Source organism: Homo sapiens, chromosome 10 (genome assembly GCF_000001405.40).
Source record: "Homo sapiens chromosome 10, GRCh38.p14 Primary Assembly".
Taxonomy (NCBI): domain Eukaryota; kingdom Metazoa; phylum Chordata; class Mammalia; order Primates; family Hominidae; genus Homo; species Homo sapiens.
The window spans coordinates 106,648,847-106,676,816 of NC_000010.11; the positions used below are offsets into that span (position 1 = coordinate 106,648,847).

A 27,970-nucleotide genomic window follows, 5' to 3' on the forward strand; every position below is an offset into this window, starting at 1 on the left:
CTGCCCTGCCCCCATCCTGTGCCTATAAAAACCCCTGACACCCTAGCAAGCAGACACACAGGCAGATGGACATGGAGAGGAATGCACCGACAGGCACCAGCATGCCAGCAGGCCACCGACCAGGAGAACTATCCTATACGGAGTTTAGCTGGGGCACTGAGTGGCCGGACTCCAGTGGAAAACCTTCCCACTCCATCCCCTTCTGGCTTCCTCCATCTGCTGAGAGCTACCTCCGCTCAATAAAACCTTGCACTCACTCTCCAAGCCCAGGTGTGATCCGATTCTTCCAGTGCACCAAGGTAAGAACCCGGGATACAGAAAGCCGTCTGTCCTTGCGACAAGGTAGAAGGTCTAATTGAGCTGGTTAAGACAAGCTGTCTACAGACCGCAAAACAGAAAGAGCACATGGTAGCAAACGCCTACTGGGGCTTCAGGAGCTGTAAACATTCACCCCTAGACACTGCTGTGGGGTCAGAGCCCTGCAGCCTGCCCCTGTATGCTCCCCTAGAGGTTTGAGCAGTGGGACACTGAAGAAGCGAGCAACACCCCCATCACACGCCTGTTAGGGGGACAAGGGAACATTTCTTGTTTCAATATCTCTATTATTGTTTATCTAAAAAACTATTTGTGTTTTCTGCAGCTCTTCAAAGGTGTCATTCCATTTTCTTCTGGACTTTTTAAACACCTCTGTTTGATTTTAGATTTCAGCAGTTTGAATGTAATAGCTCAGTGATTTTTCTTTGCACATATTCTTCTTGAGTTTGCTGATTCTGTTAAATCTATAGGTTAATATGTTGATATCTTTCATCAGGCTTGGAAAATTCTCAGCCCTGATCTTTTCAAAAATGATTCAGGTTCCTTATCTCTCTCCTCTCCTTCTGAGGCTACAATTGCATCTGTGTTAGACCTTTTTATCATTTTCCATTTGTCTCTTACTGTTTTTTCTCTATATTCTATTTCTTTCTTTTATGCTCTAGATGGCGTATTTCCTGCTGTCCTTTCTTCCATTTAACTTCTATTCATATGGGTTCAATTTCCTGTAAACCTAAGTTCTTAATATCAGTTATTATATCTTTATTTTTACAATTTCTATTTGGTATTTCTTATTGATTACCACTCTGGGGTTCAATTTTCCACCTTTTCTCACATTCATGAACATAATAATCATTGTTGTTTTACAGGATATCTTAAATAAACACTATATATCATCCAACTGTTGTTCTTTTCTGTTTTTCCCCCCTCTTGGTCCTATATCTTGATATACTTGGATATTTCTAAATGCCCAACATTTTATATGAAAAATATTAGGTAAAGCTCTGGTTTATGTTATTTTCCACTAAAGAAGGTTTACTTTGGTTTCTAACAATCATTTTAGAGTTGAAGAGAGTCACTCTAATCGATTCAGAGACTGAAGTGATTTCAGATTGGATTTCTGGGTACAGAGGGCTTGTTCTAATTTGGGTTTGCCTTCACTCCTAGGATAGAGATTTCCAGAAGTTCCAAGAACCAAGTCTCAGATAGTTCACCAGGGCCCTCCTCCTTGATAGGTCTTGAATTCAAATCTTTATCTCCCCGAAGGGTGATACTTCTAAAACCTTTAACTTCTCAGCCTCTTATTGAGTGCTTTCTATGTTTCCTGTGTTACTTGGGTATTATGAAATACCTCAGGGAGGAAAAAGGCCCTGTATGTGTGCTGCTTCCCTGTGCTTTCCTTCTCCCTGGGACATGACCTCATCAGTCCTAGCTTTGGAATATCCTCAAAGTCCAATTTTTATCTCCCAAGCCTTGTGAGTTTATTAACACCTGTTTAGCCAACACTTTCTACTCGGCCTTTTACTGGAAATCTGAAATCTGAACCTCCTCTATAGTGTGGCATATAAATTGCTAAAGTTCTCGAAAGGAAAATATAGCATAAAATGTTGGACTCACTGCAGTCAATTTCCCATCTCTTAAGAAAGGAATTTTAGCTTCTCAATCCTCCTGATAGTTCTCTTAACTCCTAGTCCTCCTTTTCCTCCTCTTCATTTTTCTTCTTCTTCTCTCTCTCTCTGTCCCTCTTGCTCTAAATATATACGCATATATTTGGTTTACTGCAGGCTAATCTGTCATAGTCTCAAGCAGAAACCTCCAGAGTTTATTTATGTGAAATATGAGCAACTCCAATTTGCCTAAATTGGCCTGTGTTTTTCTAGTTCCAACTGAAGAATTTTTGGGCATCTTAGTATTTAGAAGATTGGATATAATTGAGAGGCACACATCAAGGAGATAATCAGGAAAGGAGTATGGGGTTACACAGTCTGTAAATGGCCCTTGGACCAGAGATATGCACATCGTTTGAGCTAGATTTCAAACTCGTTATTTCACAGTTATTTTTCCTATGAGAATCAAAATACTAAAAATTTTCATCAAACCTGACAAAGCAATCATAATTGCTTCATCTTTCCACCTTCTTGTCACACTCCAGAGCCTCCGACTTCTCTATACCCCAGCCTTGCCACTGTTTTGTTTTTCTTGAAGCACAATGCACAATGCACAACCTGTGAACTTGTTAGAAATGTATATTCTTGGGCCCTACTCCAACCTACTGAATCAGAATCTTTAAGGATGTGGCCAAGAAAACTGTGTTTCCAAATGCTCTCCAGGTGATTTTCTTATACATGGTAAAAACTGAGGGTCCCTGGACTATCAGCAGAGGAAGTTGGAAGTCAATGTTATGTATTTTAATCCTGGGTGTCATTGTTAGCCTTTAAAATTCCTTCATATTTACAGAGCTTTACACAATGATAACCATAATTAGGTACCCAGAAAACGTGACTGAGGACAGGACTGTTTGGTTTAATAATCGAGATGATTTAATGTAAGTACTTATCCTTTGGAGACCATCTTCCCCATTTACAAGATGACAGAATTCCTGTGTATGTTCTAAAATATATAAGATAAATTTCATCTTATCCACCATATAAATTTCAGACATTTCAGACAACCATAATCTGGCAAATAATAATGTATGCTTTTAATGATATCCCTGAGGTGCTACACAATACAAACTCTTAACTGCCAAAGAAATTACACTCAATTATGTTTACATTGGCCTCAGTGCTATATGCATGACCATCGTGTTGCCCTTGGAAAAGAAAACCCTGCAGGCTGAGAGGGGATGAAAGTATTAGCATCTCTTAGGTTAGTTTAGTATATGTACGTATTAAATTATTTCAGGAATGTTATTTATGTATTCTGAGAAAATGGATTTTGCTAAAAGTGCCAATAAGGCAAGATTAAATCCAACAGATCCTCCAAGAGTAAGAGATTAAGTATGAGTGAAGAATAACTTGCAGTGAAATGTAAGTAATTAAAGAAATAGATCAGGGAAGGTGAAGTGATAATAAAAGAAAAACAAGGAACTAAAAGTAAAATAAAAATTTTTAAATAGCATCTAAAATGGAGAAAGTTGAAAAAGATATGGAAACAAAACCATGGTTTATTAAGAAAAATCACTGGCCCTAGAAAGTAGGGGGGAGATAGGAATCAGTCCTACCTCTTCTAATTGCACCATGAGAGTGACGTTGTGTCCTTGTTCCGCTGTCAGCTTTCCATCAGCCGTGACTATCCGCAGCCCCCGCGGGGCTTTCCCTGGGCACTTCTGCGGTTTGGCAGTGTACTGTTCCCTTACGCCATCAGTGCAATTATTGGAAACCACCTTCCTGTACCTAAATGGAAAAAAGCTCAAGTCGTAAACCAGCTCATTATAATGTGAATCATTCCCACTTTTTAAAATTAGACATAGTGCCTAGCCCTGAGGACCATCAGTAAGCACCTAACCATCTTTCATGCTACTATGAGGAGTAGGGTTAATTCATATAAAGCACCCAACAGAGAGATAATCATGGTCACACATTGTATCTATTACTAGCATTGTAACTGAGTTTTATTCATCTATTAAATTAATGAATCACTTCATTTTGAAGTTGTGGGAAATGCACAGAAATAGAAGATATAGCCCCTACTCTCACTAAGTTTATAAGCTAGTTGGAGAGACATAGATGGCTAATCTAGGAGATAATTCAAAGGCTATATAATTAAGGACTAGAATGAGTAATAAATATCGCAAAGGAATTTACAATTCAGAGAAAAAATAGATTATGATAGATATATGACTCAACATTCACAGATCTCATAGAGACTGCTACAGTAATGGTGTAGCACAGAAAACACTGGCTAAACTGGATATTTCTACTCAGTCTTTCATGAGAGGTTATACTGGCTAAATGATCAAACCTCACATTAAAGAGACTTCAGTTTTTGCAGATTGATGCTCTTTTGCTTATTTCTTGTTTTAGCTTTAACAGGGAAAATTATTCTACAGAATTAACCTATATAATTTATCAGATTCATAGAAAATTAAAATGTACAATTTTAGGATGACAAACCTTTAAGATTTTTGAGGTTCAGCGTTATCTAGCCATTATCGTTTTATACTGTTGGGTCTGCAGCAACCACTTTATGTATGTATATATTTGATTTCCCAAGTTTATTTGCCTAGAGTTAGTGGTAGAGCCCAAATAAGATGCAATCAAAGCTTACTTTCCACTCTTCTAGACCAGAGGTCAGCAAACTTTTTATATAAACAGCCAGATAGTGAATGTTTCAGTTTTGCAGGTTATGTAGACTTTGTCACAACTACTTATCTCTGCACTTACTGTATGAAGGTGAACACAGACAACACATAAAAGAATGTATGCAGCTGGATTCCAGAAAACCTTTATTTACAAAACTGGCATAGTTTTCCAATGCGTTTAAGTCTAGTGAATGTCCTTTCCTCTGTGAGAAAGTCAAAGGAGATACTGTCTGGAAAAGTACTTTGAACACTATAGATCACTACAATGTCAATTATTAATGCTTATCTCATATGTTAAATGTAAGAATTAAATGGGTTAATGTACACAGAGTACTTAAAAGTATCCTAATACTCTGCAAGTGCTCATAAAATATTACCAATTATTTCTATTTAATATTATTACTATTTTTCTTCTCTGTTCAAAACCTTCATGGACTTCATATGACCTTAGGATAGCTGTAAATTCTGTAGGCCTGGGCATGAAGCCCTGCACTAGCTAATTTTATTCTGCTTTCCTGGACTCTTTCTCCCTCATAAGCCCATGTCCATTCTCTTTTTAATCTTCTTGAGAGTACTTCTGTTTTCCTCTCTCTCTTTCTGCTTCAGTGTCCTCCTGCATGCCCTAGCAGCTGCCTAAAATTTGCCCACCCTTTAAGGTACAGCTTACTTCTTGTCTTCTCTAAGACAATTTCCCTGAATATAAGAGTAAAATGGCAGGAATTTCATATTTAGAGAGTGCTTACTATGTCCTAGTTATTGTGCTAAGTTCTTTACATAAATTAACTCATTTATCTTCAGAAGTATCCATAATAAGGAAGATGTAATTATTCCCAATAAACAGATGGAAGAATTGAGATTCATAGGTGTCAACTAGTTTTCTCAAGATCAAATAGCCAGGACCTAGACAATTTGTCTCTAGCACACATCCCCTCTTTACTACTGCACTGCTACTTTAAATGGAGTAAGATTATCCCTCCTCTAAACCCTTAAAAGAATCCTTACGATTTACTTGATAGGAATTCTTTATACCTTGTATGATTTTCTTCCTGGTGTGACTGTGTGAAATTCAAGCTCCTTGAGGGCCTCCTTGTGTTCCAGATATTCAAAGCTGGTAATCAGGAGGTCCATACCAGTAACTGTACCAGTTTAAATGTGGAAATATCTGCATAATAATTGGTTATTACCACATCCCCAAACCCTCCAAGCATCTCACTTACCAACCCAGCTATGCTGATCCCTGTCCTTAGAGTCCTTGCTTCTCACAATTAGGAAACTTATGGGTTAACACCTAGCCTATGAGGGGGTCACCAAAACTCCGCTCCAGACATAAGATAACTGCCCATGCTGGTTGGTCATTGTTATGCCTAAGCAATTTGAACATCATTCCATCTGATTTTTTTTTTTTGTTTGAGACAGTCTCGCTCTGTTGCCCAGGCTTTACTTGGCTCACTGCGGCTTTATTATGGCTCACTGCAGCTTCCACCTCCTGGGTTCAAGCGATTCTCTCGCCTCAGCCATCCAAGTAGCTGGGATTACAGGCATGTGCCACCACGAATGGCTAATTTTTGTATTTTTAGTAGAGATGGCATTTCACCATATTGGCCAGGCTGGTCTCAAACTCCTGGCTTCCAGGGATCTGCCCACCTCAGCCTCCCAAAGTGCTGACTAAAGACATGAGCCACCACGCCTGGCCTCATCTGATATTTATTTTTTTAAAAATCCTTTGTAGTTGCTTTTAAGTATATGTAAAAGAGAAAATAAGGGCAGGTGAGAGAGAGAAGGAAATAAAACACAAAATGCAGACACTGGTGTATGATAGCATCCTGGTACCAGCAATAGTAGCAAAAAAATGACCAGTGATGTCACCCAGGTTAATTGTGGCATCTCAGTGAGTTTCACCATGCATCAGAGACTGTCTACAGGTTTCAGAGGCAAGGCACTGTGCAAACTGAAGTCAGGTTATGATTTTTAATCACTCAACATCCAAGCACACCTGTGATTCTCTCTTGGTGGGCAGCTATAGAAACACTGGTTCACCATCACCACTAGCATCATCAGCTAGAGAATATTCTTTTGTTTGTCACTGTTCTGATCAATCATTACCTTAGGCTTTCCTGAATCCTGCAATAACAGGAGTTCTGCTTAAATCCAAAGCACGAATCCATCCCCCCGGGACTATGCCACAGAAAAGGCTGTTGGTAATTTTTTTAAATGCTCATTAAAAACCATTCTGAAACCATTTTATTTCCTGTATGAAAATGGCATCACATTAGCCCTACCAGACCTGTCCCTGAAATTTAGAAGAAAATTGTGCCGTAATACAGAGTTCATTTACTCAAGTAAGCACACACCTGCTTTTTGCATTACAGAATGGTTCTATTTTCATCCCAGCAGCTGTCCCTGGGTCTGAGTTACATAAATGAATAATGCATTTAATATGTTATTAAATGGGGCTGCTACCTCCGTAATAACAAGGCAACTTATGATTATGTTGGACCTGCGCTCTGAATATTACTGGGATGCATTTAGTTGGTAAAGCATTCTTCAATCTGCCAAGAAGAAAAGTGCTTTGTAATGGCAAGGGAGTCTTTGTACAATTACTGAAAAGGAAACATTCTGCAAATGTGCCTTTGATATTACCGATGGCTCACCAGTAGATAGGATCTTACTACTCCAACAACCCCAATTTTTAGCTATTCTCTTCCTCCCTATTTTGATATGCTTCTGTCACATTTTCCTTTTTGCCCCTACCCTCTTTGACTTTGCTTCTTTGCTACCTGGAAGTCTTAAAAAAGATGAAGGCAATAGGCTGGGCATGATGGCTCATGCCTGCAATCCCAGGACTTTGGGAGGCCGAGGTGAGCAGATCATGAGGTCAGGAGATCGAGACCATCCTGGCTAACACAGTGAAACCTTGTCTCTACTAAAAATACAAAAAAATTAGCCGGGCTTGCTGGCGGGCGCCTGTAGTCCCAGCTACTCTACTCGGGAGGCTGAGGCAGGAGAATGGTGTGAACCTGGGAGGCGGAGCTTGCAGTGAGCTGAGATTGCACCACTGCACTCCCGAGCGAGATTCTTTCTCAAAAAAAGAAAAAAGAAAAGAAAAAAGATGAAGGCAATATTTTTCTTTGTGAAAGTAAAACTGGAAGGAAGCATTAAAAGTCTTTGTAATCTGTGACTTTTCTATTTAGTAGGTTTTTTTTTTTTGACATTTTGAGGTGGTGATGGCAAGATACAGATGTTTTTGAGTATTCAGTGTATACTAAGGTGACAGTAGCTTAGTAGCTTAGTAGATCTCAACCCCGTCTACCCTTTGGAATTAGCTGGGGGTACTTTTAAAATAGATGGATACCCAGGCTCTGCAAACAGAAATGCTGATTTAATTGAGAATTATGGGGATCAGTTTGTTTTTGTTTTTAGGTTCCCCTGGTGATGCTAGTTTGCAGCCAAGGTTAAAGACTACAAATTTAAGAAGTCAAAAACAATAGATGTTGGTGTGGATGTGCTGAAAAGAGAACGCTTATATATGGGGTAGGAATGTAGATTAGTACAAATTAGTACCACGTCTATGGAAAGCAGAATGGAGATTTCTTAAATAACTAAAATTAGATCTACCATTCAATCCCGCAATCCCACTACTGGGCATCTACCAAAAGGAAAAGAAGTCATTATAGCAAAAAGACACCTGTACATGTATGCTTATCACAGCACAATTCACAATTGCAAAGATATGGAACCAACTTAAGTGCCTATCAGCTGATGAGTGGATAAAGGAAATGTGGTGTACATACACCATGGAATACTACTCAGTCATAAAAAAAGAATGAAATAATGTCTTTTGCAGCAACTTGGATGGAGCTGGAGGCCATTATTCTATATGAAGTAACTCAGGAATGGAAAATCAAATACCACATGTTGTTACCTATAAGTGGGAGCTAAGCTATGGGTACACAAAGGCATAGAGAGTGGTATAATGAACTTTGGAGAGTCAGAAAGGGTGAGGGAGGAAGGAGGGTGACAGAGAAAAAACTACATATTGGATACAATGTATGCTACTCAGATGACGGATGCACTAAAATCTCAGGCTTCATCACTACACAATCCATCCATGTAACCGAAGACCACTTGTACTCCAAAAGGTATTGAAATAATATATATAATAAATATATATTATATATCTCAAAAATATATAACACTATATGTGTGTGTGTGTGTGTGTGTGTGTGTGTATTTTTTTCAAGAAAATAAATAAACACTACTGACCTGAAGGTTAAAACTAGTGTTGTAGAACCAAATTGTCGGAGTTTAAATTCATTCTCTTACTCTATGAATTTGGGCAATTTACCCATCCTCTCTCAAATCTTTGATTCTTTGCCTACAAATTAGGGATAATTATGGAATCTTTTCCTAAAGTTCTTGGGAAGATTAAATGAGACAATGCATTGAAAAGGGCTTAGCATAGATTTCAGCACATTTAGAACGTTAATAAATATTAAAATATAAAAAGTTAGAAAAAAGTATTTAAGTATCAAATATTAACTTGCTATGATATTTCAAGTTCCCCCAAAATAAAAGTGACGTTCTTATTGCCAAGGTCGTCTTAAGATGAAATCCAATTATGTCAATTCCTTTCTTAAAATCATTCAAAATTTCCCATGGGCTTATTCTAAAGAGTAAAGTTCAGGTTTAAAGTAAAGATCCACGACCTGACCTCAATGCATTTTTCTAGCATCATCCATGGCCTGACATGCGCCCTGAACCAAGCCATTCTGTATACTAAATGCCTTCTTTTGCCTGTGCTGTTCATTCTGCCCGGGATGCTCTTTCCTACTGGCAAACTTCTACTCATCCTTAAAAAAAAAAAAATCAGCTTCAAAATCATGCTTTTTGTGAAACCTCCTCTTCCCTTTTGTCACGGTAGTTATCACATGCAACCAAGGTGAAACTGGAACTCTAGGTCTTCTTGTACCCCAGGGGGTGTTACTGTCATTGAGCAACGGTGGTCCTCATTTGCACTCACAATAAAAAAAAAGCATAAATAGTTTAATTTCTTGGCTTGTGCTATGTGCATTTGCTTTCAAGGGAAAATACTGCCTTGTTACAATGACACTAGGCTTAATGAAGCAGGAAATGAAGGAAGCCTTGGGGATGGAGAAGGGGGCTAATTCTTGATAGAGTATGTGGCTAAGACTTAAAATCTTCCAAATCCACCACCTTAGTAATGTAGGTGTGCAATGACAAAACAGCTATATGTGTTATGTTCATGTGTGTAAATTAAAAGAGCTATGTAACTATAGATCTCTCACATGAAGATACAGGGCTACGATGGCATGGCTTAACAATTAGGGTAGAGAGAGATTCTTCTACCCCTGCATCCAGAGAAACTGCTTCTGAAAAAGCAGTAGTGGTGGCAGCCTAGATTTCCTGATCTCCTATTATATATACCAGAATAGGGATTATACCAGACTTCCAGGCTGACAGACCTCATTGGTGGCTGTATATTAACCATTGTGACTCTTCATCAATAGACACAGGCAGCCCCAAAATGGTCATTTATTCTTTAACTGGGATCCCATGTGACAAAGTATGCTCAGGAGTGACAATGTGTCCACATATCAACAATAATCTTATGTAGCAGCCATAGCATCAGCAATCAGGAATAGACTTCCATGGCTGGCTAAGCAGGCTTTCCAAGTTTCTCTCTTCAAGGCAACAGCTCTTTGGACTATTCCCCTCAATGGAGTAAACAGACCTAGAAATTAGCGGATAGGCATAAGACAGAAGACCAGGTAAAAAGAAGAAAGCTTCTCTTGCATTAAGCAGGATGGAAGCAGACGTCATTTAATTTGAATAGTAATAGGAATGTGACTTCATTTTGAACATGAGCTTGATGAAATGGTGAACTGGGACATATGGCCACACACACTTCACTAAATCACTTAATATCGAGAATCATACTGATTGAGAATGGCTCACAGAATCCACTATCTGAGCCTACCAGTTGTACGACTAAGTTAATATGAATTTGTTTTCTATCTTTTGAGGGCCTACAGTCCAAGGAATTCTAATATTGAATCCTTTCAATTGGTCATGGAAATGTTAAAGCTTGAAGGGGTCTCTAAGATCATCCAACACTATCCTTTTGCTTTTCACATAAGGAAAAGGAAACACAGTTTAGAGAGTTGCACCTCACACAGGGGATGACTGGCACGTCTGGGACTCTGGACTAAGTCTGGTGTTCTCTTGCCACTGTACCATAGCACCAGGATAAGAATTGTTAATGCCAAGGCCATTGATGTGGGCAAGAATCGCCATGTGAGAAAGCAAGTCTCCATGTACAGTGATATTCACCTTTTCCTTCATTTCCCAACCCCAGTGTCATGCATGAAAAGATGGAAAACCTCATTTAAGAAAGGTTTTCTTAAGAAAGTTTTCTTCAGAAAGTTGACTCTGTAGCAACCAACAATTATTGAGTGTGTGCAGTGAGGCTGTATGGTTCTTGGCTAGAAAACAGCTACAGAGGCCCCTGCAGTGATGAGTCTGTAAATAATGCAAGTGATTGCCTTTTTGTGGACTTTAAACACATGCACCATTTTTAGGGCCAATTATTCTCCTTGACGCACACTGAAAAGTATCCTTGAGAGGAGATCAGACCAAACATCAAAACCCCCACAAGGCAACCAAAACAGAATCACCTGGAAAAGACCAAAGCTCCAGAGACACTGGAAATAGCAAATCCAGGAAGTGGCAGGTTAGCAGAATCTAAGTGTTTTATGGCTTATGTAGAGAGGAAGTTTTCAAGTTTTTATTTTTAATTGACATATTATACATATTTATAAGGTACAGTGTGATGTTTTGATACATATATACATTGTGTAATGATTAAATCCATCATATCCATCACCTCAAACATTTATCCTTTCTTTGTGGTGAGAATATTCAAACTTCTCTCTTCTGGCTATTTTGAAATCCACAACATGCTATTATTAACTATAGTCACTCTACTGTGAAATGAAACACCAAAAGTTATTTATAAAAAGCATCTTTTAAAACATTCCAAATGTATCTTGATAGTATAAACATAACTATTTTGCTAGAATTTATGTGTGTATTTTTTCTTGGACCCACTGTATATTTGTAAATAGATACCTAACTTAAACTTTTTAAAAATGTCTTTATTGTATAAATATCCCCATTGGAATCTCTTGAATCCAGGAGGCAGAGGTTGCAGTGAGCTGAGATCACGCCACTGCACTCCATCTTGGGCAATAGAGTGAGACTCCGTCTCAAAAAAAAAAAAAAAAGTCCCCATTGCATATTGAGAAACTAACCCTGAAGAGCAGTAAGAACTGTCTTTGTACCTTCTTCCATGAGGAATTAATGGCCCCTATAAAGAAACTCTACAGATAGAAATTTCTAAACGTACTTTATAAAGCACCTCTAGAAATATCTCCAGCTTAATAGCAGGAAGAAATCTTTCCCTTGAGAAGATTATCTTGGTTTCTTAGAATAAACCAACCCACTGCCCACTTTATTTTATATTTACAGAATCTTTTACCACTGGCATGAAACAAGTAACATGCTAGTTAATTTAGCAACTTAAATTTTGCAGTATGCTCCCCGGTTCCAAAACAGTATAAACAAGATTTAACCATATATAAGTATCACTGAATGAGCTTGTGCTTGTGGATGTGCATACTGAGATATTTATAGATACCGAAAGAGAAACAAAGAGGAATAAATTTGGGGTTATTTCGGCACTAACATGAAATAAAATACAAATGAATACTGCTTTCATTTTATTTGAGCAAAAGGAACTCGTTCAGTAATCAGCTAAACACATTATCTGGCCTGAGTGGCATAAAGGGACAGACGTGCTTTGGTGTACAGTGCTTTCATCACTTTCTAATTATGTAACTTTATGAGCCGCATAGGTTACTATTTTTGTTTTACAAATGAGAAAACAGAGACTTACATTAAATATGTCTCAGATATTATTACTGCAGTGACAATTAAACATCAAATACATGTCTGGACTGTGGATTCATAATAAAAGTAAGTTTTTTCCCTTCTTTCTTTACTCTAGAGGAGTCTTCAGACAATAACTATTGGTGATGACACACATTTTGTAAGGTGATGACTATGTGCTAGGCATTGTGCTACATGCTTTACATACAGTGTGACATTTAATCAAATTCTGAAGGCAAATAGCAAAATGTTATAGGTTAAGGAACTAAGGTCAAGGAAACAAAGTCACTTACTAAACATAACAGTAAATGGCAGAGGTTAGATTGAACATCCTTAATTGTTTCATTCCAATTACTCACTTTTTCACCGAACAAAACATCCCCAATTGTATTTCACTCTCAATCCCTAACAGGCTAAGGCCCCAGTACCAGCCTCCTTGCTTTCCACCTTCATGTCAAATGACATGTAGAAGCTGTGAGGACAGAGGCTGAATAGAGGCAGGGAGCCAATCGTGGAGAACACAGCAGGCTCTACTGTTCCACTGTGTGGGTATGAGAAACCCTGACGCCACTGGACCAAGGAGCAGGACTGGTGGTTACAGCCACCTGGAGGGACATTCTGCACCAAGTTCACTTTTTATTCCATCCATCCTTTCTAAGTCCTAGCCAGCAACTAAAACAAAAATTGTGCAACCATTCACTTCTACATAGTAAAGATGATAAATATTTTGGCATCTCATCAAAATAGCATTTTATTGGGCACAATAATAACCGATGCCAGGATTTCCCCATCATGGAGAAGCAGGTAAACCTGAGAACACTGCCATATACACAGGGTAATAAGCTGACAGTGAAAGTAACCATAGACATTTATAAAGTGAGTTATTTAAGAACTTTTTTTTTTTAAAGGAATGATTTCCTGCATGCTTCCAAATAAACTCTCAGAAAGGTGATGCTGGGAGGTTTGGTCATTCACCCCACTTAATTCATTTTCCCACTGCATGTCTGTATCATGAGCTATGCTGTAAGAAAAGTGTGAGACAAATGAGGTGCCCAGGGAGCAACATTTATGAAGGGGCTCACTCTCTGGCCAGCCCTACACTTGCGATTCCTTTGCACTTCATCCCAGCCCTGAGGCTAATACAGATTCTGCACTGACTGAGCATGAGGTGACCATGGATGGCTTAAAATGGCACTGGACACAGGGTTCCCAGTGGCTGCTTAACTCTATAAGCATGCAGGCATTGGCATCTGGGCTTGTCCTTGAGAAAACTACTATTGTGGCCCTTCCCCAGGATCATTTCTTGTTCTTTTTGCATGAAATGACCTTCCTCACCTTATTAATTTGGCTAAATCCTACTTCTCCTTCCCCTCAGCTTTCCTTTACAGAATCCACTGGCATTTGAATTTTAAAGGAGGACGGCACTTAATACAAATGAATCTCTAATTTTTGGGACTCACAGGCAGCCCATGAGCAGGAAGCCAGTGTTTTAACCCTTACAAGGGAGAGATGTGGCAATGTCTGATACCCAGGTCTGAGACGTACCCAGTTGGCTGAGTGGAATTTGCATTATGAGCTAACAGAAACACCTCCAATTGCCAAAAGAGACTTAATTATCTTTGTATTATTTGTATAACAAGTTTTATGGGATGAGAATATTAACTGCAGCATTATTTATAGTGGCAGAAAAAACAAAATAACCCAAACATCCATGGAAGAAGGATAACTGATAATATTATAATAATACTTAATACTATGAAATTAAAGAAATGAGAAAGTGCCCTTATATACTCTGGCTTAGAAAGATGTTTAAGACATATTTTTGAATGAAAAAGGAAAATAGAAGAACAATGTATCTAGTAGGAAATCACATATAAAAACAACCTCCCAAATTAATTTGTGTATTTTCTCTTGGGACAAGTATTTACTAGCAAATGCAAAGACAAGTATTTAGAAGTATGCATATCAAACAGATCACAGTTGTGTGGGGAAAGGGGGCCAGGATTGGGATGATGATGTAAATTGGCTTTTAAACATATAAAACATACACATTTATTTTGTAACTAAATATTTTTTAAGTAAAAATCTAAATGTATAGTGTCAGCATTATTAGTGGCTACAAGATTATATACTGAATCTGCTTATAAAATACCACTGAATCAACACATAGCCAAATGACATCTGTGGTGAGGGGCTGAAGTGACATTAAGGGAGGCAGAAAGTTCTTTTCCATCTTTTCCAAGTTCACCAACATTTTACCTCTTGCCAACTCTTGAGTTGGCTACAGACACTGCTAATGTGAATTCAGTGGTGTGAGGCCTTCTTTGTAGATGATTTCAGGCCTTTGTCCCAGCTAAGGGTCTTCGTGTTCCTAATGCAAAATGTGTAGCTTAGACAACATGCTGATCAGTGGGGTTATTATTGACAACCACTCCCGTGACTTTAGTGTATAAGACCCTATTTGGGTATTCACTCCTCCACCTGTGAGCATCTTACTTATGAGAGCAGGACATTTACCATACCCGCTGATGGCTGGTATTTATCATATGTTCTCTTTACACTAGCTTGCTCACCAATGCTGATGCTTTTCTGCAAAATCTTTAAACGGAACAGACGAAACCAGTGGACGTGGCAACTTAACAAAAATCATTTGGGGTCAGATGCTATCGTGTAATACCCACAGAAATGAACAGGCCCCTGAGAGTTAAGGTGGAGTCCTAGAAGGTAGTGTTGTAATTTCGTGACTACTAAACATAACAACTGCATTGACCAACATTTATATACCTGGATGCTTATTGCTAAGTCACATTTTAATTGACATTATGATTTTAATTTTATATGGCATAGATGGTATTCTTTTTGAATATAAAATTACTTAATCGTCACTGATGTTTTATTTGATGTTAGTCAGAATTTATAAGATCTCAGATGGGCCAGGCGCGGTGGCTCATGCCTGTAATCCCAGCACTTTGGGAGGCTGAGGCAGGTGGATCACGAGGTCAGGAGATCAAGACCATCCTGGCTACTATGGTGAAACCCCATCTCTAGTAAAAATACAAAACATTAGCTGGGCTTGGTGGCGGGTGCCTGTAGTCCCAGCTACTCGGGAAGCTGAGGCAGGAGAATGGCGTGAACCTGGGAGGCGGAGGTTGCAGTGAGCCGAGATCGTGCCACTGCACTCCAGCCTGGGTAACAGAGTGAGACTCCATCTCAAAAACAAAGAGGAAAAAAAAGATCTCAATGAACTGAAGAGTGAGGGGTCACAGGTATCATTCAGCCTTGGTCTATGATTGAGTAGCATCTGGAACAATTTGATCCCTCTGTGTTTCAGCCTCCTATCATCAATACCAAAGACAGACTAATATAACTTCCTTGACTGATTGAGCTGGTTAAAAAAAAAAATCAATTCTTAAATTAGCTTGAGGGGTTTCCAATGCCCTTTACAGTATCTAAACATGCTAGTACCAGCAAGTAATAAAACTCCTGTCTTTTGCATTCCTTCCCCATTAAGTTTAGTTATTTTATTAACCTTTTCATTTTTTTCCTCCATGGTACTATGCTAAGACCTCACTGACCCATTGCTATAAAAGTGTTATTTATATTTCCTTGGATGTCGTGTTATCATTCAAAAAAATCATAGCTTATTCCTTTATTCAAAGGTTCTAGGAATCCCTAACATCAGAAATAGGAATCATTACAATCCTTTTCTATGTGTTTTCCTTCCTTGAAAAGAATAGTATCTATTATTTTGATAATCTTTTATAAAAATTAAACACATTTAAAATTTCAAATACAGAGTACATAAATGGAAGTCTCACCCCCTCAAGTGGATTCTCTGTACTGTAGCTGGCTCAAGAAAGGAGAAGGGGCTTTGTCAAGTAAAACTGGCTGATTGGTAAGGTTCCTATCTCCTTACTTCTCCTTTCTCCTTCTTCCTTCCCTTTTTTTTTCTCTCTCTCTTTTTTTTTTTTTTTAATAGATGGGGGTTTCCCTATGTTGTCCAGGGTGGCCTTGAACTCCTGGACCCAAACGATCCTTCCACTTCAGCCTCCTGAGTAGCAGGGACTATAGGCATGTGCTACCACAATAGCTTCTTTTTAACTTTTTATTATCAGAACTTTCAAATATGCATGAAGAAAAGTAATGTAATAAATTCCCATGTACTCATTACCCATCTCCAAAAATTATCAATACTTATCTGCTTTTTAACACATTAAAACAAAACTCACAAAAATATGTATCTCTAAAAAATAAGACTTATTTTTTTCTTAGCCTAACCAAAATGACTTTATCATGCCTAAATATATAATTCTTTAATATCACCTATGATGGGTAACTTAATATGCGAACTTGACTGCGCCATAGTATGCCCAGATATTTGGTCAAATGTTACACTTCTGTGGGTTTTTTGTTTGTTTGTTTGTTTTGAGACAGAGTCTCACTCTGCCGCCCAGGCTGGAGTGCAGTGGCACGATTTCAGCTCACTGTAAGCTCTGCCTCCCCTGGGTTCACGCCATTCTCCTGCCTCAGCCTCCCAAGTAGCTGGGACTACAGGCACCCACCACCACACCTGGCTAATTTTTTGTATTTTTAGTAGAGACAGGTTTTCACCATGTTAGCCAGGATGGTCTCGATCTCCTGACCTTGTGATCCGCCCACCTCACCCTCCCGAAATGCTGAGATTACAGGCGTGAGCCACTGCACCCGGCCACTTCTATGTATTTTTAAATGAGATTAACATTTAAGTCAGTAGACTGAGTAAAGCAGATTGACTTCTCTAGTGAGGGTGGGCCTCATCCAATCAGCTGAAGGCCTGAATTCAGCAGGTTGACAGTTCCCAAAGTAAGAGAGAATTCCTTCTGCCTGATGGCATTCATATTGGAACACTGGCCTCTTTTCCTGCCTTCGGTCTTGAACCGAAAGATAGGCTCTTCCTGGGTCTCAGGTCTGCTGGCCTTTGGACTAGAACTACAACATTGGTTCTATGGTTTCAGGCCTTCAGATTCGAACTACAACTATACTGTCAGCTCTCCTGGGTCTCCAGCTTGCTGACTTACCCTGCAGATCTTGGGACCCACCTACCTCCATAATCGAATGAGCCAATTCTTTACAATAAATCTCTCTCTTTTTTTTTTTTTTTTTCTTGAGACAGAGTCTTACTCGGTCACCCAGGCTGGAGTGCAGTGGTGCAATCCCGGCTCACTGCAACCTCTGCCTCCTGGGTTCAAGTGATTTTCCTGCCTCAGCCTCCTGAGTGTCTGAGACTACAGGCGCACACCACCATGTGCAGTTAATTTTTTTTTTTTTTGTATTTTTAGTAGAGATGGGGTTTCACCATGTTGGCCAGGCTGCTCTCACACTCCTGACCTCAAGTGATCCGCCCACCTTAGCCTCCCAAAGTGCAGTGCTGGGACTACAGGCGTGAGCCACTGCTCCTGGCCAATAAATCTCTTTCTAAATAAATATACATCCTATTGGTTTTGTTTCTCTGGAAAGCCCTAACTAATACATTACCTGAATTAGTATATGTTCAATTTTCCTCAATGGCTCAAATGTGCCTTTTTACAGATCATTTGTTTGAATCAGAATTTAAATAGGTTCTACACACTATTTTAAAGTTTATAGATACCTACTACATTTGAGACAAATTTATGATTTTTTTTCCTTATTATGGTATTTCTTAAATAATATTGCATAAGCCCCATGACACAGAATATTAAATACCAAATTTCAGAATGTGATTCTGGATTTACAAAGGTCAGAATGCATGTTTAAATGTGTCAAGACTGAACATAAAGAGAAAGCAAAATACATTCGTATTAACACTAGTATACTTTTGAAAAGTCAGTGAGTTCCTTTTGTGATTCCAGGTTCCACATCTATAAAACAGAAAATGCAAATATTAAATATCTATTTGGCCTTCCTCATCATGGATACAATGACGGTAAAAGGTAACTTCACAGGATTAAATAGCTTGAAAACAAAGTGTCGAGAAAATGAAGACACTTTTAATATCATCATTGTGATCTTCAATCAAGAAACATTTCTCTTTTTTCAATTTGCAACTGGAATCTTATTCTCACATGAAACTTGCACTATTAGTGCAAAGTTGTGCTTCATTGTTAAAATGAACAAAAGCAATTACATTGTGCTGTAAGGAAATATGCTTGGTCCTTGATCAGAAGTAATTCTGTCAGTATAACACGTGCTGAAAGGCAGCAAAGGTTGGCCTCTCAAGGTCACTACTCCAGACACTTACCCAGTACTATTGAGGTAACTCTGTCCCAAGCTGCAATCCTTTGACAGAGAGGATGGATTGAACCAAAATGCCGGCAGGCACTGGCCATTGCTGTGTCGCTCATAACCATAGTCGCTGTTAGGAAAGAGCCGAGAAAAACCTTTCACTAGGTGGCAAAATTACTGAAAACAATTCTACATCAGTCCACAGCCAAGTTCCACACTAATCAATTAGTCATAACAAACAAAAATAAAAACAAAAAAAAAAAACACAAGCATTCCCTGAATCAATGACTTCTCAAAAATAGAACTTTTTTCATAGAATATCTATCAATTAATTATTCAGGAAAATATCCTACACAACTGGTCATTCCATTTAAACACTCTCAAGCTGAGAGAGTAGATTGTGCTCTCATTAGAACGATACACAATACAGGTGGCTGGGCCCAGAGAAAGCTGTAATGAGAAAACGGGTGTGGTGGAACTCAACCCTTGGTGAGAAATTCATCGCAGAGTTTAACACGGCCACATGTGGCACAGTCCTCATTACTGGTGATGTCTTTGGGATGCTCTTCCAAGACATCTGGATCTACCAAGAGAACTGAGCCAGGTCTCTCTGTGTACACTCCATATGCTTCAAAGTTACAGCCAAAAAGGAAATGTCCTTCAGGAGTGTCTCGAGCATTCCCCTAAGGAAATGTTTCACACTAGGCAGTTAGCGCTGCCACTTGGGACTAACTGTTTTAAATCCTCTCTCTACTTCGGAAATAGCCAAAGACTTCCCTCTCAGCCTCCTCTCATTCATGCTTCCAGGAGCCTCTGAGTTGCCTGATATTCTTGGCAACTGGCAGATGAACCTGGGCACAGAGAATGACAACAAATTGCACCTCCACATGCACAGACAAATTGCAGGCAGCAATCGGCAAGCATTAGTATGAACTGGCCCATCTGTGTAATGGAGGTGAGATGCTGGCACACAAGGGTCAGTAAGGGAGAAATAGGCTCAGCTCAGGGGCCTGTCACCAGGCAGCTGGTACTTAGAATTTTGCACATACCAGCAGGATTTGGTGCTGGTTCAATGCAGCATGGGTAGGAAGACTTCAGAATTGCTGCCTATAGGACAACCAGTGTTTGCTTCAGGAAGTTACTTTACGAATGCTGGAGAGGGACAGGCAAGGTCATTTGGGGGACTGTCCAGGAGAGGGCCAAACCAAGGAGAAACACTCAGTGACAATCACCTTTCATTACACTACAGCCAGGTGTAATCACCGAAACTCCAGCTACCGGTAGAACCCCAACAAGGTTGTGATGAGCCTTCCCAAATATTTTCAGAAATCATGCAGTGACAGAAATCCCACTGGACCAGAAAACCTTACAATGAACTCCTTCATGATTCATTTCCCACTTCTCAGAATGCATTTCAGCTGGTGGGATGAGTAGCCGATTCCAATCACAAATGAATGCAGGGATTGGGCCAAGACTAAGGGGCACGAGAGACACGGGAGAGGAGAAATCTAATTGCCTTCCTTATCTGGTATTCCTTTCATTCTGGACTAGCTTACAATTGAAAAAGAAAAACAACAACAACAACAACAACAACAAAAGACTGGCTTACTTTGAAGCCTGTAGAAAAGATTCCCAGAGAAGCAAATGTTTCAAGGAGAAATCAGGACATTGGGACATCTCATCTCATCTCATTTTTTTTTTTCTCTTTGGTTTTCTACCAGAGAATAAATTTGCCTCCTGCTAAAGAATGGCTGTTTCTTAAGGCAAAAGCTAAACCACTAATGTAAGATGCTAACTTCCTTTGCAAATCTTCCTTGAATACAGTAAACGAAGAAGCAGCAGTGGCTTCAGAAAGAGGGATGCAATGAATGACTTAAAATCTCATGGTAGTTTTCCCTGTGAATGCATTTCAGGATGTTAGTCCCAAAGGGTAGTACAGAGATAAAATATTTTTGTCATTGTAATAATATTGCACTGACTAAAACAGAAGTCACACTGGGGAGGCCCCTGAAGATTTCGATGATTTGAGCTCCCTGAAGATTTGAGCTCCAATGTAACTGAAGCTCTGTTGCCCTCTGGCTGAGCCCAAAGAGATACTTCATTCGCTCTTGGCTTGGCGTCCTCACCAACAAGGGGATACAGCTGTGGGTTACTGGTCTGACGGCTGGCTGCCACTCTTGTCAGACCTTCTTAGTACTATTTATTCAGAGAATATCTCCAGATGTCTACCATAAGAGAAGGCTTAACTTTTCTAAGATATGTGATGTGTATGTACACAGTATCTCAGTTCAGTCACTGATATTTTAATGATTCAATATGTAACCTGAGGTTGCTATACAGCTAGAAATAAATTGTTGAAAAATGACTTTAGTTCTTATACGGGTCAAGTATTAATTTTTTAACACATATGTACATATTTAGCGATTGTGTTTTCTAAATTAAAAACAAATAAACGAATACATGAAAACCAAAAAGAAGAGGGAAGAAAACAATGGAAAATGAGATGGAAAATATCAAGGGAGTTACCACCTACTTGTCCTCAATACTTTGTAAGCCTTACCTGAACAATTAACATTGACAACAAGCCAAGGGCTTCACAGTGCCCACAAGCTAGCTTTCTGCTGAGCAAATGTCTCAAGAAGGACTTTATGGCACTCTGAGTTTAGTTTAACCTCTAAATGTCTCAGTACTTCTCCAGTTTAAATTAGCTTAATCCTGGTAAAGCAAAAAGTCTCCTTTATCACTACGTTCACCGAGTTACAGATTTGCAATGCCATTGAATCCATCCTTGCTCTGAGTTCAGCAACATCTTCCATGAATCTCATAAGCTATGGTCAGCTAACTACGAATCGAAAACTTGCAGGGACAGAAAATTTTCTGCCTTAAAAGGCTATTATTCCACTACAGGAAATCCTAGATTCTAGAAAGCTTTCATCTTGAGCATAGATGTTTGTTTGCTCCCTAAAAAGTCCACTTAGTGTTTCCAGTGTTGCTGTTTGAAGCAGCACAGAAAGAATCTGCCCATTTTTTTTTTTTTTTTTTGAGATAGTCTCACTCTGACGCCATGCTGGAGTGCAGTGGCGCGATCGTGGCTCATTGCAATCTCTACCTCCTGGGTTCAAGCGATTCTCCTGCTTCAGCCTCCCGAGCAGCTGGGATTACAGGTGTCCGCCACTATGCCCAGCTAATTTTTCTATTTTTAGTAGGGACGGGGTTTTACCATGTTTCCCAGGCTGGTCCCAAACTCCTGACCTCAAGTGATCTGCCCCACTCAGCCTCCCAAAGTGCTGGCATTACAGGCATGAGCCACCATGCCCGGCCAAATCTGCCGGTAATGAAGATAATTACCAGCCATCTTCCGAGTCCTCTTTCAGTCTAAAGAAACTCTTGATTATCCCACATACACATACACATAGCTAGTAAACTATGAGGTAATTTTATAAGAATATGAAGCTGGCCACTTAGCCCTATGTATGTTACTATTATTTCAATTCTAAGCTTTCATTCAGGCCCATGTGGATTTGATACACCAAATGGCTCCAGGAGATAATTGCACAAGCTCACCAATCAAAATCAGCCTCAGTGCAGACACAGGGTTCAGATTCCATAGCTCCTGCATATTTTCCTTGCATACACTTCCGCTCTGATTTTCGCTTCTTATATATCCTTTTTGCTCCCATGATACATGCTTCCCCCTGTAAGCAGAGAAGGATCACAGATACTTGGGCACATAGCTTGGACTTTCTCTGCTCCACATGAGTGACATTTAGGGAGACATTTGCACATCTTAGTGTAATGTAAACTTTGGTAGCCCTCTTTGTGCTAACAACATTTTCCTTTTGCGGTCTAGAGCCCTATTATACAACCTGACTATAAAGGCAATCCTAACAATCATTGAAGATTATTAAACAACATCCTTAATTTTGTGTGCACTTATCAAGCCTTTATTTGGCAAAGTGTTGGGTGCAGTGCTATGAAGGACACACAGACTCAGCCTGTACCTAGTGTATTGCCAGTAAATCTGCAGTAATTAAGTTCAATTCCCCTATAATAAAAGATGTATACAGTTGGTCATTTATGAGGGCATGAAAGAGGAGCATTGCTAAGAAATATAAAGATCAATTTTGCCTCGATTTATTATGCCTCTGCCCACACAACTTTACAGCACAGATTTTAATGTTCCTCTACCAGACAAGCGAGAGAGCTAAATTCAGTGTTTTCCCACAAAATAAATAAAAGCTTTGAATATCACAATGCTTGTGCATCCCAAAGGAGAAAATATCAGCAATGTAAATGAACGATTCTATTGTTAAGCCTCTGAATAGGGTGGGTGTTTCCAGCTAACGCAGGGCCCACTATCAGACACACTCCTCCTTTTGTGTTTCTGAAAGATCAGAGTAGAATTTTGCTTTATCTACTGTACACCGTCTTTCTTGAGCAAACTCACTTTAACTGGCTTCATTATACATCTACATTTACATATATTACTTAGTCTAGGTTTGAGGTATATGACGTTTTTCTGCCTGAATATGGTGATGGCTTTGCAGCAGGTACTTCTACCAAATCCTTTGAGAGATCTGCGGAACGACTTGTACCTTGGGAAATCAAGGGAGAGACACTTCCATCCAAGCATTTTGATATAAGCTGGATATGTGAGAGGCCAGGACAAATGAAAGTTTCCTATTAATAATTCTGCATTCTCATACCAGAAGTACCTTGCAAGGAGGCAAAAAGTACCATATAGTTCCAAGGAATCAAGGCAAAGGGGAAGAAGGATTTCTCCGGCAACACTCACCCAGCATAATTTTGTTATTTTATGTCTCTGCTTGCATTGCTAGATAAAATTGAAGATATCTTCCTCATCCCTGCCCCCACCATGCAACCATATGACATTCTCAGATGAAATATGTTTGGATCTGAGTGCTGAACTGGTATTTCATTTTGATTTGTAAGCCTAAGCCAAGCACATTTGAATTTTATCTCATTATATCCTAGCACAATAAAAACAGAAATGACTTCACAACAAGCTATTAATGGTGAGTTTGTTCACTGCTGTGGAACACAAATGTGTAAGAAAACAGTAGATGGACATTTTGGCCTAGAGCATCCTAGTTCCTATACCTTAGCAACTAGCTTTCCCCCAACACCACTCATGCTTCCTGCCCAGGCCTTAGTCTCAGTTCTTTTCCTCCTACCTGGCTGTGCAGCTGCCAAGGTCTGTAGTCCTCTTCGGCACACCGTCTATCAAAAATGGACTTGTAATCTACTTTGACCAGCTGCCATTCAGAGCGGTGGCTGAAGTGTCCAAACACTCTACAGAGTTCATGGTGATAAAAATAATTACAATGATAACAATGTAATGAGTAATAACAACAGAGAGCATTTGTGGGGCGTTCACCCTGAGCTAAGCACATTACATGAATCATATCATTTAATCCTCAAAACGCATTCATGAAGAGGGTACTTTTTTTTTTTTTTGAGACAGAGTCTCGCTCTGTCACCAGGCTGGAGCGCAGTGGTGCGATCTCGGCTCACTACAACCCCTGACTCCCTGGTTCAAGCAATTCTCCTGCCTCAGCCTCCCGACTAGCTGGGATTACAGGCACGAGCCACCACACCAAGCTAATTTTTTCTATTTTTAGTAGAGATGGGGTTCCACCATGTTGGCCAGGATGGTCTTGATCTCCTGACCTCATGATCCGCCCGCCTTGGCCTCCCAAAGTGCTAGATTACAGGTGTGAGCCACCGCACTTGGCCGAGGAGGGTACTATTACTGGATCCACTTCGCAGATAGATAATATGAGATTCAATGAGTTTTGTTAACATTGCAAAAACAAAATCAAGTCATAATAACAGGCAGAACCAGACCCAGAGTATTTAATTCAAGAGCCCACTTGTACATATTGTGCCACAGGATTGGTTGAGAAAATATGGTTGAGAAAAACAATCATAAATGCTGTATTCTATGTGGTCCAAGATTAGACTTCTAGGTTATCTTGCTAATGTACATAGTTCCCATGGTTTCCATGCTATTTTACTTTCCCACCAGCCCCTAGTGAAAGTGATCAGCAGAACCAAGTACTAATAATGGTTTCCTACACTGTACATTCTACTCTCTTTACTCAGAGAGACTTAAGTATTTACTGAGATGTTTGAATTACCAACCATAGGTTTGAAGAAAAGCCATGAAGTGGCCTGTTGGGTCAGTTTTTTAAAATCTGTTTTGAAAATATAAAAATTGAAGAAAGACAAATTATGGAATGCATTGCTAATTTAGCTACGTCTCTCATTGAGAAAAGTGTAGCTATTAGGCATATTAGATTTTTATTGTTGTTTTCTACCATTAAAAAGCAGAAGTGGTAGGCCAGGCGTGGTGGCTCACACCTGTAATCCCAGTACTTTGGGAGGCCGAGGCAGGTGGATCACAAGGTCAGGAGATCGAGACCATCCTGGCTAACGTGGTGAAACTCTGTCTCTACTAAAAAAAAAAAAAAAATTATAAAAAAATTACCCGGGCGTGGTGGCAGGCACCTGTAGTCCTAGCTACTCAGGAGGCTAAGGCAGGAGAATGGCATGAACCCAGGAGGCAGAGCCTGCAATGAGCCGAGATCATGCCACTGCACTCCAGCCTGGGCGACAGAGTAAGACTCCGTCTCAAAAAAAAAAAAAAAAAAAAAAAAAAAAAGTAGTAGTGGTAGGGGAGAGAATTAGCTTACCAAGTATTGACTTTGGCTTGAAAGTTTTCATTGATGACCAGATCAACTACTTTATAACCTTCCCTTTCTACTTTCCATGTCCAGTTTTCCAAAGGAAGGAACTCTCACAGTTTCATACTTGAAATTCAAAGTCCATGTATTGAAACCCATAGGCAGCGTCATTAATCTTTCACAAATTAATGATCATCACATTCCAGACAAAAATGAGTGTAAATGCAATTTCACAATAACAGACTGTTCTCATGATTTTCCTAATATGCCTCACAATTGGGTTAGGTAAAGAGCCAGGGAAAAATACAATGCTTTGTGGCATTTTGATGAAACTATGCTCTGACTTAAAGCGAACTCATTCCTATATACCTGAGATTTTCTACATATCCAGGTTCTTTATTACTGAAGTTTTAAATGTACAGCTTTATTTCCTATTGAAATCATCACTTCTAATTTCTCTAAGCGCCTCAGTCTGGGTCTCCTAAAAACTATCAGAGAACCAAGAAAATAGCTGCCCACATTTTTCTTCCCTATTTGCTGTACACTCTTGCAGTAAGATGCAACAACCTTGAACCTAACAGCTGCAAATCAAACAGGCTTAGCTATAAAACATTTTTGTGGATTACTCTTTTCTATGAAGGCTGGACCACATCATACTTTTCAACTTACGTCATGATGAGAGTCTCTTCTCCAGGCTCACCCAGAACCCCATCCACAAAAAGTGGAATAGATGTGAAACTGTATTTGCTCCAAGATCTCCCTTCATCAAAACTCAACCTAATGATATAAAAAATATCAGTCATCAGATCTCCAAAGGAAAAAAAAATGTCATTTCAAAGGAAAGATACTCTCAACCCAGAGATAATACATTTTAAAAGTAGCTGAGATTTTGTCAAAATGAGCCTTTCATATGAATAAGTATTCTTAATTATATCAGAAAGTAGAAATACAGTTAGCCAAGCCACCGGGACACAGATGTATTAAAACATCAATAAAAGCAGAGCTACATTAAATGAGAATAACTATAAGTCTTTTATAAAATTGTTGAAAGTTTGGATATTTTATTATATCTTAGGCCTCAAGCTCTTGACCCTGTCCAAAACCTCTCTACTGTCTAACAAGTCTTACAGGTGATCCTGAAGAGCGATGACCTTGTAAGACTTACTTAGATTTCAACCAACCCATCTCTAAGTGACCAAGTCCTCAGTGTGTCCTTCTTACAACCATAAATCCTGGTTGACCTTACTGAATGAATGAGTACAAGATAGGCTCTTGAAAGCAAGAGAAGATAATTCTTCAGTCCTGATGGTCACTGGAATGCTCTAAATGCTTGTGTCCTCTCTAAAATTCAAATGTTGAATATCTAATCGCCAATATGATGATTTTAGAAGGTGGAGACCTTGGGAGGTGATTAGATCCTAAGGGTGGACCACCCATGAAAGGAATTAGTGATCTTTTAAAAGAGGCCTCAGAGAAGTGCCTTGCCCTTCCACCACGTGAGGATACAGCAAAATGGTGCTATCTATAAACCCAAAAGTGGAACCCTCATCAGACACTGAATCTGCCAGCATTTTGATACTGGACATCTCAACCTCCAGAACTACAAGAAATTAATTTCCGTTGTTTATAAGCCACCCAGTTTATGGTATTTTGTTATAGCAGGCCAAATGAACTAAGATGGCCACCGAGGACCTTTTCTTTGCTCTGCATTTCTTTATGAATGCCCTTGCCCAAGCTTAGCCTTTCTTTTTTCTCTCTTTTGCAGCTTTCCCTTCAGTCATCAAACTGACTAACAGTAGAAGGAAAACCAGGCTTTTGATTTTGGACAAACTCATATACGGAGAGAACCACTTTCAAAAACACAGTTAAAAGAGCCTATTGATAACTCCTCTGGGAGTTAGTCTTTATACATCCATCTGTGGGACACGCACAGGCAGAATTGTGGAATATCACCTCAAAAAAGAAAAATAAGAAAGCAAGATCAGGAGAAATGAGACTGGAGCAGAACTGTCATGCACTGATCATCTCTGTGTGGAATGCAAAAATGGATATGGATATTAAACTCCAGGAGATGTTATTTGGGAAAGGTGACTGCAAGAAGTCAAGCTATTCAGAGACTATACCTGATCATGAACATTGTTCTACCTGTAATCGTGCTGAGAGAATAATATACTGGTGAGGGTGTGAGGGTGAAAGTATTATCACATTTGCAAAGTATAATGCAATTTCTCTCTCATGGAGTAAAACTCTCCCTCTCTCTCTCTCTGTCTGTGTCTCTCTCTCTTTCCTACCTCCACTGTTCTAGTAGACCTTGACATTCTGAAACTGGCCCAACTGTCCCATAGAACTGATGTTTATGGTTTCTTTGAATAAACACAGAAATTGATCCTCCTTGTCTTAAAACTTGAGAAAGTTACATTTGTCTTATCTGAGTTCT

At 39.4% G+C, this 27,970-nt stretch overlaps 1 protein-coding gene and 1 long non-coding RNA gene across 19 annotated transcripts in view; one reads left to right on the top strand and one right to left on the bottom strand.

The window, feature by feature from the left end:
- SORCS1 (sortilin related VPS10 domain containing receptor 1) overlaps positions 1 to 27,970 on the bottom strand; it is a 607,476-nt gene that overhangs the window by 75,184 nt on the left and 504,322 nt on the right. For all 17 annotated transcript variants that reach the window (XM_017015617.1, XM_047424547.1, XM_017015615.3 and 14 more), the window contains 5 exons: positions 26,203 to 26,310; positions 24,022 to 24,139; positions 22,391 to 22,521; positions 18,843 to 18,956; positions 3,536 to 3,707 (listed from right to left, as the gene is read on the bottom strand). In XM_017015617.1, coding sequence (XP_016871106.1) covers positions 3,536 to 3,707; positions 18,843 to 18,956; positions 22,391 to 22,521; positions 24,022 to 24,139; positions 26,203 to 26,310 — 643 coding nt within the window. The remainder of the gene's footprint in view (positions 1 to 3,535; positions 3,708 to 18,842; positions 18,957 to 22,390; positions 22,522 to 24,021; positions 24,140 to 26,202; positions 26,311 to 27,970) is intronic.
- LOC105378473 (uncharacterized) lies at positions 53 to 27,936 on the top strand. 2 transcript variants are annotated; one of them, XR_946299.3, is made up of 3 exons: positions 53 to 299; positions 16,380 to 16,478; positions 18,454 to 18,863. It is a non-coding gene; the product is annotated as an uncharacterized LOC105378473 (long non-coding RNA). The 2 variants fall into 2 exon arrangements; XR_946300.4 differs by lacking the exons at positions 16,380 to 16,478; positions 18,454 to 18,863 and adding an exon at positions 27,299 to 27,936.